A 13,072-nucleotide genomic window follows, 5' to 3' on the forward strand; every position below is an offset into this window, starting at 1 on the left:
CTCTTCGCTGTGCCATGCCAGTCAACTATGCCCTTCCCTACTATCCTTCTTCCACCACCATTCCTCTGACTGTCAGGCTCAGCAAACAGCTTGCAGTTGGTCAATGAGTGCTTACCAAGCCCCGGCTCTGTGCCCAGCATCATGCAAAGCATAAATGGACATGGACAACAGTCTTAAACTACTTCCTACCCACAAGCAGCTCACAAACTTGTTGGGAAGAAAGTAGAACAAGGAGAGGAAAAGACAGTAAAAGCACCCACTGTGACATGGTAAAAATGATGTTGACAACAATAATGATGGTGCTGGGATCTAACTCCTCTATTTTGCCTGTAACTTGTCTTCCGAGTTTCTACACATTGGTTGGCCAGAGGAAAATTAACTTTGAATTCCATCTAGTCAAAAGTTTAGTATGGTCCAATAATTATAGTAGTCCCTTTAAGAAATGCTCAGCTGTACAATACTCATTTTCCAAAAAGCTTAAATCTTAGAAAACAGTTCCCTTGTCCATTTAGGTGGGTTTGTGTAATGCTGATCAAAGTCTGGTCCATCTAGGACCTCTGATAATATTACTGTCACTCCCAAAGCTAGGTTTATTTCCACCTGGTTGCAATACTCATAAAGAAAGAAAACCACTAAGTGATGTGTTAATAACAGGTATGTATAGAAAGCACCACTGTTATTTTAAACAAGTAAAATGAAACCCAAAAAGTTTGGCAATACAAGAAGTGCTATGGGCTAAACTGTGTCCTCACAAAAATTCATATATTGAAGCCCTAATGTCCAGTACCTCAGAATGTGACCGTATTCGGAGATAGGGCTTTAAAGAGGCGATGAAGTTAAAACAAAGTCATTGAGGTGAGGCTCTAATTCAACGACTGATATCCTTATAAGAAGAGGAAATCTGGACATAGATGGGCCCAGAGGAAAGATCACATTAAGACAGAAAAAGAAGATGGCCGCCTACAAGCCTAAGAGAGAAGCCTCGGGAGAAACCAACCCTGATGACAACTTGATCTCAGATGGCTGGCCTTTAAAATTGTGAGAAACTAAGTTTTTGTTGTTTAAGGCACCCAGTCTGTGGTACTTTGTTATGGCAACCCTAACAAGCTAATACAATAACCAATCTCTAAAAAACATCTCTCTGTGAATGATACAAGAATCCAGGGTTCTGTTTTTCTCACTGACATTTTTGCTGTTTTAATACTAAAATGGTGTCTGGCATAAAAAATGTTTGATAATGTTTGTTGAATTAATAAGTAGATATTATCTTTGCTGTTAATTCATGATACAATTTTAATACATTTTACCAACCTAAATAGAAAATCAAACTGAAAAAGTAACTTCCTCATTAAACAAACACAAAAAAATTCTAAATTTACATGCTAGGTAATTTCTAACAATAATTTTTTAAAAGGATTTTATCTTAATTTTCATTTATGTTTCTATAGCCAGAGTCTTCCCAAGATTCAATACTTTGTTTGGTTTCCTATCATCTCAATGATCTCTTCCAAATCCTGCTGAAGTTGTTAGAAGTAAAATTATCTCCATCTTATAAATGGGAAAAGTAAACTGGCAAGTCAAAGAATTTTCTAGAGAATAGGCCCACAGAGAAGGCTGTTAAACCAGGATGGAGAGATTTAAACACATACACCTAGGGGAGGCAGAGAAGAGACGGGAACATGAGGTGGCCTGAAAATGAGCACAGTATTTGAAGGTCTCCCAACATGAGTTTGATCACATTTAAAGCCCACCAATTTAGAGCTTTTTCAAACTCCATTCAAAGGGGGTTTTCCTGACGTATCTGCAAAACCTAATAAGAAGGCCCTGTCCTCTGTGTAAGCAGCTTTTCATACATGCATATATTCATTTATTGATTCATTCAGTAACTACTTATTGAGCATCTACTATGTGAAAGGCATTCCTATCAGCCCTGGAGATGCAATCGTGAGTAAAACAGACAGAAATGTCCCTGCCCTCACGGAGTTTACATCCTGGTAGTGGGGACAGAAAATTTAAAAAAAATAAATAAGTAAAATATGTGTCAGTATTAAGTACCATGGAGAAAAAATTAAACAGCGATGAAAAATATAAAACGTAAGGATGGTTGAAATATTCGGTCAGCCAGGAAAGGTGTCATGAAGTTGAGTTAGGAAACTGACTACATGAGAAACATTTAAACACCTTCTTACCTTGTCAGACGGTATTCTGAGTTCCAGATTCAAGCAGCCTGGTTTCCATACACAGTACCACTTTTTATTTATTGTGAGAAAATTGCCTAATTTTGTGTCTCAGTTTCTTTATCTGTAAAATGGGGATAATTTTTTTAACTAGTAGAGTTGTGAAGAGTCAATTTAAAAACAAAACACATTTAGTGCTTAAAACAGTGCCTGATGTATAAGAACTCAATAAATATTAGGTTTTGTAGTTGCTTTTGTGTTTTTTTTACTTTCTATGATCTAATTTCAAGATTGTTAAAATGGGACTCATAATGCCAGGCTTCACTGAATTTTTGTAGGAATCTCACGAGACAAGACATAAAGAGCCCTTGGAGTTTGGATCATAGTAAGCACTAAATGTATGCTTCCTGCTCCTGTTACCATTGTAACCAGGCAACATTTTTGTTTTCTTAACTATTGCAACAGTATTTGACTTGGAACAATAGCCATCGGGAATAGAAGGTTAGATCCTGAGGACATGGACGTACATCCACAATAATCTTAGCATAAAAGAAAAGAGAGATAGTTAAGCTTCTCTGCACTTGAAAACAAGAGGATGGGAGTATTGGGAGAAACAGAAAGCAGAAGAGAAAAAGGGGAAGGAGAGAGGCACCGAGGAGCTGTTGTGAAGCTGGGGATTTTATAGGATGAGGGAAGGGTATCTATTCGCTAAGGATGGGATAGTGGAGAAACATTTTACAAATAAAGATGAGTCAAGTTAAATTTGAAATTATTTTTGTTTCAACATGAACTGCACTTCTGTCTCCTCATGCCACCAAAAGTTTTAATAAATACATTATACTCACAAGTGCTTTGTAGGGTCTTTTGTGCAAATTAGATGTGCCAAAAATGACCGTGAAAATGTGGACTTCACAGAATTTGGAGAAAACTTAGGGAGGACTTTGGACTTCTACAGGGAATGAATAGAGCTTGAGACAATCCTACCTAGGTCTTTGATATCTGCATAACAACATTAATATTAGTAATATTAATTCAATCGGAGAAGCAAAACCATTAGGAAGTGTGTGTGTGTGTGTGTGTGTGTGTGTGTGTGTGTGTTTTGCTTGGGAGGAGTGGATTTATTATGGAGATTTGAACTTACACAATGGGGGCTGGTTAAAAAGTCTTTGTAAGGCTGTTGTCTTTGTGCCTGATGCTGGAGCTTGAAGTCCACAGCATGGGTCTTCAGGAAGAGAAGATAAGATAGAAAGTAGGAGTGAGCAAGTACAATCCGGAATTTACAAGGACAGGAACAGACTGCAACCCATATCAGTTATAATCGCCTCTAACCTTGATGATGTGGGCATCGTGCCTGAAGGAGCCAGGGCTCTTTGTCACAGAACTAAATACACATGTGGCCCAAGAGTCAGAAAACTGAAGGGAGGATCCCAGAAAGGTGGGGCAGTTTTAGGCCAAGCTAAAGCTATAATTCTAATCAAACTAAATTAAATGTATTTATTAATAAATCTTAATAAAAATTCCTTAATGTTTTAAAATCAAAGATAAGTTATTATCTCTGGTAATTATCCCTTCTGGCTACTTCATTCTCAATGATGAAAGCCTGTGGTTGGATAGAGAAGTCAGAAAAGACAAGAAAGGGAAATGTCCTATTGATGACCGCATCCAATGCTCAGTTTAATTTCTTTAAGCCCCCAGGATAATACTGTTTTGTTGTCTTCGATTATCGTTTTCTATAAGCTAATGGCCCTTCACCTATTTAAGCCTGGTGTTCCATTATTGGAATGCTAAGCACGTGGGAATTATTTATATCCTACTGCTCAAGGTCATCACCAAGGTCTGATTCCAAAAATTCCAAAAATTGCAACCTCAGGCATGAATGGGTTAATTGGAAGAGGAATCCTTAGTCCGTCGGTAAGTTCTAGTACAGGGAAAAAAAAATAGGCAAATCAATACCTAATTTTCTGACAGAGAAAATCCATTACAAGGATGGTTGCCTTTGAAAGTATCTCAATAGGAGTCATATCAAGTCTTCTCATTTCAATGACTAGAAAAATGAATAAACTCTGGCTAGACAACTTATGAAATTATCCATCCCTGCATCATCCATCAGTCAGATGATAAGGTCCCAAGCTATAGTGACTGGATAATATTCATATAAAACTTCAGCCTGGTGGGAGAAAATAAATCAAGTTGTTACACTGTCACTATTTCCTAATAAAGATTTTACAGCCTGAGGTTGTGAAAGAATAAGGGTAATTTTTAATCGTTCCTTTAAATATACATTTCTATGTGTATAAATACACAAGCATATTAAATATATTATTTTCATTAAAATAACTTTCTCATATCAGGTGAATATCTGGAGCTAGGTAAGCAAAGCTAAAATGCAAATGTGGTCCACCATAGTAAGACAAGCCATTCTACTTATAGGATGACCTTACATAAAAATTTCCAAGGCGTGGTAGGAAAGCAAGTGCTGATCTTTCCATCTTCTTGCTAAGTGAACATTGCTCACTCCCAGTACCATGTTTCAAAGACCAACGGGCAAATATCCAATTCTCCCAATTGTTCATTTTTCTAGAAAAATAGAGATTACAACAGAGACCACCTAACTGCAATCAATTACAATATAGATGATGATGATTGATTGATTGATGATGACTATGATAGCCAGCATTTTGATGACATATTTTTACACATGTAGCTATTAATTTTGACTAAAACTACTTTTTATATTCCATTGTCTTCTGCGATGTCATGAAAAGGCCAAGTATAGCACTCCAAGTACTGGTGGACTGGGGATTTTTTAAGAAAGAGAGGAAAAGTACAGAAACAGATGCAAGAACTCTGGGTCAGCCAGATCAGCAATCAGGGGGTGTCTGAGGGTTTCAGTCCTCATCACTCCACCACCATAACTCCCATTCACCCTTTAAAATTCTATTTTGTCTTTACTGTTATTCTTCTAATATCAGCACTATTCTCTATGAATGAATCCTTCTTATCATGCAGCCAAAACTTATATTACTTGGGTACAGAGAACAATCACATCATACCACAAGTCTCCCTGAAGCAAAATAGTTAAAAGCACATTCTTTTTAGTTTAAAATTAAACAGCCTCATCTGACTTTCTTTTTCTTTTTTTTTTTTTCTTTTTTTTTTTTTTTTTTGATGGCAGCAAACACTGGATCTGCCTCAAGCCTTCCCTGGCTGCCCTGCAAACTTACACCAGTCCACAGAGGTGCTGAAACCTCTGAGAGGCAAGTAACAAGCAGCATGAAAATGGAACTAATGATCCACAGCTTCATCCTTTGTTTCCAGAAGCAACTGGTGTCCGCTTTCAGAATCTCTGAGACTGGAAATGATGGGAAATAGTAAGGGAAGCTATGTGGTCCAGAAAAAAAATAGTTGTGGACCTGAATGGCTTGCCATTATTACATTTCCCTATTGGGCCAGCATACTGCCTCTTTGCAGTTTGCCAGATTTCGCCTAACCTCATCCACATTTAAAAGTCTATGGAAAAACAGGAGGGCCTTTCAGGGGGAAATTCATTCATGTTTGGATTCAGGCAGATTTAGGAACCTTTAATAGCACTGTAATTACCCTGCAGGGCACACCACAGAGCAGCCAGCAAGCTCTCCCTCAATGGACACAAAATTTCCTCTGGAATTTACAGAGCAGAAACCTTAAACACACATCGCCATAAGAACCAGATTACATAATGTCTCCATCACCCTCCTGACAGCTACAATTATGAGTCAATCCCTGGTTTAAATATGAAACCGGAAGCTCCGTGTTTCCCCTCTGACTATGTGGCAGGCTGAGTTGAGCTCTTCGGGGCTGTCAGTTTGGAGATCTAAGCTGCTCCCACAGTCACTAATTTAGCATGAGACCAAATGACGGGGTAATTAAAAGCAGTGCTGCAGAGACCCGCTCCAGGACCAGATGTTCTCCTTGTTTAATCGCTGCCCACATAAGGAACAGAAATAGCCCCCTCCTTTAATTTTTCCTTTTCTTTATCCTCTCCAGATAATTTCCGGCTTCTGATCTTTCAATCCCACAAAATAAAATAAAAATAAAAGCCCCATTAGGAAAGATGACATGTTATTGAACATATGACTGTAAGTTGTAATGCACTCTTGCAGTCTCCTCTTTGTACTTCTTGAAGCATTCCAACTCATAAGACATTAAGTTGCCCTGGCAACCTCACATGACTAACAGCTCCAGAGAGCCCCACCTAACTGCAAGGGCTCATTTAAGTCAACATGGGCCACCCCAGCACTTAGTAGCCCAGGTCTGAGTAAATAGCCTTGCTTTTTGGCTTTTTAGAACAGGCTGGAGGAGGCGGCCCCTCCCCTTTTATTGCCCCAAACACAGGACAAATAAGTCTCCACCCTAACTTCTCCAGGAACTTGACTAAAAAGGCCAGGGGTCATCTGGCAAATCAAGGCGAGGTCTTCTCTTCACGTTTCTGGCTTCTGGACAAATAAGGCAGAAGAAAAGGGAAGTTGAGCTAATAATGTATACCTTCCAAAAATGGAAAAGCAGTATGCAATATGGCTATCTCAATCTTATCAAATCAGACGAGGCAGCTTTCTTATGTCCCTTGGGATGCAGAGTCTGGTCTCTATCTAAATAGCAGGCTTCCTTGGCATTAAAGCACTAGAGGCCTTGAGGACAGTCTTGGAAATCAGGAGAATAGAGATCCAACTCTAATTCCACCGTTTGTGACAACAGACAAGCCACTTTACCTCTCTGAGGTTATTTCTTAATTGGCAGTACGGAATGACCATCCTTGTTTTTTTCTCTTCTGGGACCTGTCTCTGCAAACTTCATCCTCATCCACAATTCTCAAGCATGTGGAGTTCTAGGTTTTTAAGATAAAAGGTGCTAATGAATTGTATTTCCAGATAAATAGGTATAGTCTTTTTAAAAAAACAAGTTAATCAAAATTTATAAAACATGATCACTTGAGATTTTTGACTTTATGGAGGTAATCAGACAAGAACCTTTGATCCTTGCTTTCACTAATCCCTTCTGAATCATTGATTATTTGCTAGTGTCAGGTAGATCGACTCAAGTCACTGCCTAGTAATGACCAATCTGAAATGAGGATAAAGGTGCTCTACAAAAGCATATTGTAAATCAGAAAGAAACAGAAATACCCAATGATTTGATGAAAACTCACTAGTTCTGTAAAGGGAGGGAAACCACAACTGTTACTGTTGTACAACTTTTGTTCTATCCTGGAATCACCTCACATGTGAGATTTTTAAGTGGGTTGTACTCACCTGGTTAAATAGACACGAATGGGACAGTCTGAAAAACAGTCTCCACTCTCAGGGTTGATGCCCACATCAAGACAAAAAGCCAAACGGACCCACAGGACAAGAAACAATGTTGTGGGCAGCCGTGTGTTTCGCATATTGCCCCTGACACAAACAAGGAATTATGGAGGTCCCATCTTTAAACAGACTTTATATTACTCACCATCTGATCAGTGTGTGTGTGTGTGTGTGTGTGTGTGTGGTGTAAGAGTGAGGGAAAAAGACAGGAGCAGGCATTTGCTTACCTAGGCATTACTTGAATGGTATTTCCTGCAGACATGTGGAGGTATATTTAAGGTAGCAAGTACTCTACTATCTCATGTTTATCAACTTCCTGATTGGGATGCAAAAGTGTATTGGATTTTCTGAGTGGAAAACATATTCGTGTATTCCAGACCTCAGAGGAAAACAACCAAATAGAAGTCTAAACCAGGCCCAAAATAACAAGAACCATGGGGACACATTTAGAGCAACGTATAAGAAACAATGATGTCCATCATGCATGGCCATTACTCTTCCCGCCCTGCTTCTCTGGGGTGTTTAAAGAATCAGTGATTGACTAGGCACACTCCTTATGAATATAAAACATGATTCATGTTTGCCAGTATTAACCATCCACTCAGTTGGAAAAAATGACTCCTCCACCTGAGTGCTGCACTCTTCTTTGGGGCATTTCAGGAAACACTTGTAGCATGTTTGTGCTCTCAAAAATGTTTTCCTACCCTTTCCTTCAAACTTCTCCTGAACTTACGCCTCGCCGAGGACCCCAAATACCTACCATGCTCTCCCTATTTCTTATTTAGATTTATAAGGAACAGAAAACAGCCAACAAGTTAGTATCAATCCCTACACTCCTGAATGTATTTGTTCATTCACTCAACATATTTGTTGAACCCTTATCAGGGCCAGGGACTGCTCTGGGCACAGGAGATACAGAATAAAAGACAGGTTTGGCTGGGTGCAGTGGCTCCCTCCTGTAATCGGAGCCCTTCAGGAGGCCACGGTGGGGCAGGAGGATAGCTTGAGGCCAGGAATTCTACCTTACTGTAGGCTGCGATTGCACGATTGCACGCTGCACTCTAGCCTGGGAGAGCAGACAGGACTTTGTCTTCGTGTTGTTATTGTTGTTGTTGTTGTTTAAAGGTTCATGTTCTCAAGGAGGCATACACTAGTGGAAAGAGACATTAGACAATTAGCCCTAGTAAAAAGTGACACAAAGTCAACCAAATAGAGGTCCCAATAGGATCTTTTTGTTTACCGGAGTTCCAGACCCACATATCTTCCACCTGTGCAGGTAGATAAAGTGTCCACCTCCAACTTAGAAAGAATTCCACAAGCACCCAGAACTTCATCACATTCGTTCTCCGGCTTTGTGATACTCATTTTAACACACACACAAAAATACTAAGTTCAGAGAGGCTATGTGGATTTTCTGAGGTCACACAGTTGTCTCAATGGAAAAAGCAGGGAAATGTTATAAAATAATACGAGTATCAAAATAGCTGTCCCATCGTCGTCCTTCAACACTTGCAGGTTACATCATTTTGCAGGTCTGGCTGTGACATCACTTCTGGATATGCGACACGGCCCACCCCACCACTGAGAAAATGGAAAATGCTGAGCAGTAACCTCAGAAACAACTTCCTCCTGCAAACGCAATTTCTTTTCCGCCTAAACCTTTACAGCAGGGAAGGTGGGTGTAAGGCGCACCAAAGAGCCTTTCAAAGTAGGAACCCCGGCCTGCAGGTCAGCCTGGATCGTGTCCAAATTGAGTTCCACCCCTGGTGAAAACCAATCTGTTTATGGGTACGCTTTTCTGATGTTACAGAACGTCTGCGAGAGAGGGAGCTCAAGTTCCCGCCTGGTCTCTAAGTAACCCGGCCCACAAAGGTGCATACACACGTCCGAGACAGAAAAAAGCTTGCCGGTCGTTCCCTCCTCCCAGGCCTGCAATGAAATGCGCTTTAATTGCATCAAAGGGTTCTTCTCAATGGGGTTTCAGAGGCGCGAGAGCGGCGTTCCCAGCGAGGGTTCCTTTCCGGCTGGCCAGCATTCCTCAGCCCCGCGCGGGGAAGGGGATGGGGCTCCTTCGGCAGGGCCTGAGGCTCATTTCCATTCCTCTCGCATACAGCCTCTGTTGTGCGGGCCGGGCCTGCAGAGGGTAGCCGCGGCTGCCTACGAACAAAGCCCCATTCATCCCCAGGGACGCTTCCTCCCCGCCGGCCCGCGGCCGCAGATGGGCTGGCCTGGGCACGCCATCCTGCAACCCGGGCGCGCGGCCCGGCCTGGCGCGCACAGGGCTCCGATTCAGGACGCCGGGGCTGGCCGGGGCGACCCGGGCTGCTTTTTCAGCAGGCCCCACAATGAGGATCGGCTGAAACTCGCTTTCATTTCTGGGCCGGGGACAGGCAGACACTGAGTCCTTTCAGCCGGGAAATCCTCAGTTTACTCACGGCTTGTTGAGAACGAAGATGTCAATTTCCACTGCCCTCTCCCGGCCTCCCCCACCCTTGCCCCCTCGGGATGGTACGGTCCGAAGTTTCCCGAGTTGTGAGAGGACTTTGTTTCTCCTCTGCGGCCTCTGAAATCCCGACGAAAGGGTCATTTCCTGACTTTTGTGTCTCTTCAATCCAGTGCCTTGAAAGTTCTTACCCTCTTGTTGTGACTGAGTGCATAATTGCAAGGCTGCTCCCTAACTTTTTTTCAGAGCTTTAACATTCCTCTAGGTTCAAGTTTGGGACCGTGGCTTCACAACAAAGACCAGTTTTTTCCTCCCCCTCCTCACTCCTGGGAAAAAGGAAAAAAGGAAAAGAAAGAAACCAAAACGCGTTTGTTCAGCAACCATGTTCACAGATTTCGAGCACACTTCTTCTGGCCCCACAGGTTAGACCAACAACAGGTTAATGCCACGGAGAGCTCTAACGCCAAATCAAAGGACTGCAGTCTCACTTTTTCTTAAGTCTCAGGCAGCTGGGGGAGTTGGGGCGGTGTGTGCTTAATTTCTAGTGCACAATCTAAAACAGAAACAGCCTCCAGATCTAGATTCCTAGGCTCTGGCTTAAACAGGGAATGGCAGAATCAAAGAACACCAGATATAGGAAGACTTATCAACCCTAATGCATTCATTTTACAGATAAGAAGCAGATAAGATCTAAGAGGGGAAGAGACTTGTCCGCCCTCCAAAAGAAGCTGGTTCATCCCAGTAAAAATTGCCTCAAACAAACTTAAAAATAATTTTCAAAAAGAAAGCCTCCAAGAAAAAAGTGTTGTTCAAAAATATGTTTTCTTTTCTCCCTTTGTGTCAGAAAAAGTTTTCTCTGAGTTGGTGGGAAAAGGGTGGGAACCCAGGTTTGAGCTGAGGATTAGAAAAAAACCTTCAAGTATCTTTCCAAAGAATGCTCTCTGTGTTTCTTTCACTTCCTGCATTTTGAACATTGCTACTCTCTCTCTTCAAAGTACAGTCATTCCCCCGTATCCGTTGGGATTGGTTCCAGGACACATCCCCACCCATAACCCAAACCCTGGGTGCTGAAGTCCCGTATATAAAATGCAACATATTTGCATATAACCTATGCACATCCACCCTTATACTTTACTTCGTCTCTAAATTAACTTACGATGCCTTAAACAATGCCTACACATCACTTGATTCTCCTGGATTCAATGTAGTACTTGGCGTGGGACAAATTCAAGGTTTGCTTTTTGGAACTTTGTGGAATTTATTTTCTGAATATTTTTTATCTGCGGTTGGTTGAGTCCATGGATGCAGAACTGACGGATACAGAGGGCCGACTGTATTGCATCCTTGGTGTGGCTAAAAAATACAACGAAATAAAAACTGGTTACTTGCTACTCCAAGACTTCTTTCGTCCTGCAGGAAAAAACCTTCACAATCTTAAAATGGAGATAGGATTACTTTGCATGGGTTATTTCTAAATGTACAAAATGAATCAGTATACACACAGATAGAGAGAGAGGAGTGCTTGTCATATACCAAGTACCATACTAAGCACTTTACACGCATTCCCTCATTGAATGCTCACAATAGCCTATGAGGAAGATGCTATTACTACCCCCATTTTACAGAAAACAGACCAAAGCTGAGAGGGGTTAATTTTAACTTTATCAAGGTCACACAGATGTTAAATGGCCAAGTCACACAATGTGACTCCTGGGCCTGATCTCTTTCACGCTAGGCTTCACTGATACTTGAGGCACAAACACGTGGGGACACACTGGACACAGAGGTCTAGACTTGGAAGCCAGGAAAGCTCCAGCCAAGACATAGGTTTTTGTGTTTCAGCAAGGGAGGGGCTACAATGGCATGCCTGAAGGCCACAGGAGGGAGAATCTGCCTCATCCTACCCCACTTGGAAAGAAAGAAGGCCATGTGAGGACCTGCTAATTTCACACCGAAACTCTCTTTTGAGAAAGCAAAAGAGTGTGAATTCAGTCACTCCCTATTCTGAGCGGTCTTGTGATTTTATCTTTTAAACAATGCTCTGTAAACAATCGTGTCAAACCTTGCTAGTTGTCACGGCAAAGGGGACAAGACAGTGCTTAATTATACTGCTAATAAAATGTGCAGCCTATAATTGACACACATCACTTTTCCCCCATAACTCATTAGTCAAAACTAATACACCACCTCAACTACGATAAGTCCAGGAAATGAATTCCAGCCCTGTGCCCAGAATAGGGGACAAGAAGGACTAAAAATGCATGGTAACCAGCCCTAGTGATGACCATGACGCTCAATAAACACTGCTCTTCTTCCGATGAATGGCGAATACCAGTCCTTTTTTATAACTTCCTATTTTATAGCTAGTCCATGAGACTTTAGAGCAGCTCTCATGTGGAAGGCTCTGTAATCTCAGGAGTCATGCGTGTCATGACAAGATTCAACAAGAGCTTCTGGCTGCACCAGGCTACAAAGGCGTTCTCTTGCTTCTTATGAGCTCCACCATCCCAGAAGAGGAAAAAATGAAAATAAAGTCTTAAGGAAAATGGTCTGCTTTGGCATACCCAACTTGAAGATCATTGTGGGAGGGAGCAGGAAATATTCAAATAAAAGCAAAAGCAAATTTTGACCACAGAACTAAGAAAGTCTGTAGGAAAGATGCTGGAGTGACAGGAAACATCACTGACATTTTCATTTTCTCTCACATCAGATTTGCCCAGCTGTGTCTTATGGAAATGATTCTTAACCTCTCCTCAATATTTCCCAAACGAACTTGCCTTTGTTTTGGTGTTTTCTGAGCAATTCAAAGCTCATCTGGAGTTAATACGATACATACTTTGTTCATTGACTGACCTGTGTAGAAATGCCGATCAACTTCTCTCTTTTTTGACTTCTGCTTAACTTCAGACTCAAATTATCCTATCCTATTCTTATCTGATCATTCCTCGATTGTTGGGCATTGTAGATTGTTACTAATTTTTAAAAATCATACGTATAAAAAGAAGCACTAAAATAAATATTCTGGTACATAAAATCTCTCTCTGCGTATATAATTGTCTCCGGAGACTGGAATCACTCAGTAAAATTGTGCAAATTTTGCTCCAGAAAAG

The 13,072-nt window shown here is 41.2% G+C and overlaps 1 long non-coding RNA gene across 3 annotated transcripts, besides 1 other annotated feature; it reads right to left on the reverse strand.

The window, feature by feature from the left end:
• Positions 1–5,523: 5,523 nt before the first annotated feature.
• Positions 5,524–9,702, reverse strand: LINC01852 (long intergenic non-protein coding RNA 1852). Of its 3 annotated transcripts, NR_147201.1 has the most exons (3): positions 8,760–9,702; positions 8,542–8,669; positions 5,524–6,652 (listed from the first exon to the last, which is right to left on the reverse strand). It is a non-coding gene; the product is annotated as a long intergenic non-protein coding RNA 1852 (long non-coding RNA). The 3 variants fall into 3 exon arrangements; NR_147200.1 differs by lacking the exon at positions 5,524–6,652 and having other exon boundaries at positions 8,335–8,669; NR_147199.1 differs by lacking the exons at positions 5,524–6,652; positions 8,542–8,669 and having other exon boundaries at positions 8,730–9,702.
• Positions 9,180–10,045: an enhancer, noted in NCBI's record as "NANOG-H3K27ac hESC enhancer chr15:38364669-38365534 (GRCh37/hg19 assembly coordinates)". NCBI's record gives its function as "activates a minimal SCP1, AML or CMV promoter by ChIP-STARR-seq in naive H9 embryonic stem cells {active_cell/tissue: H9 hESC(naive)}" and the evidence as "EXISTENCE:reporter gene assay evidence [ECO:0000049][PMID:30033119]".

Source organism: Homo sapiens, chromosome 15 (genome assembly GCF_000001405.40).
Source record: "Homo sapiens chromosome 15, GRCh38.p14 Primary Assembly".
NCBI lineage: Eukaryota > Metazoa > Chordata > Mammalia > Primates > Hominidae > Homo > Homo sapiens.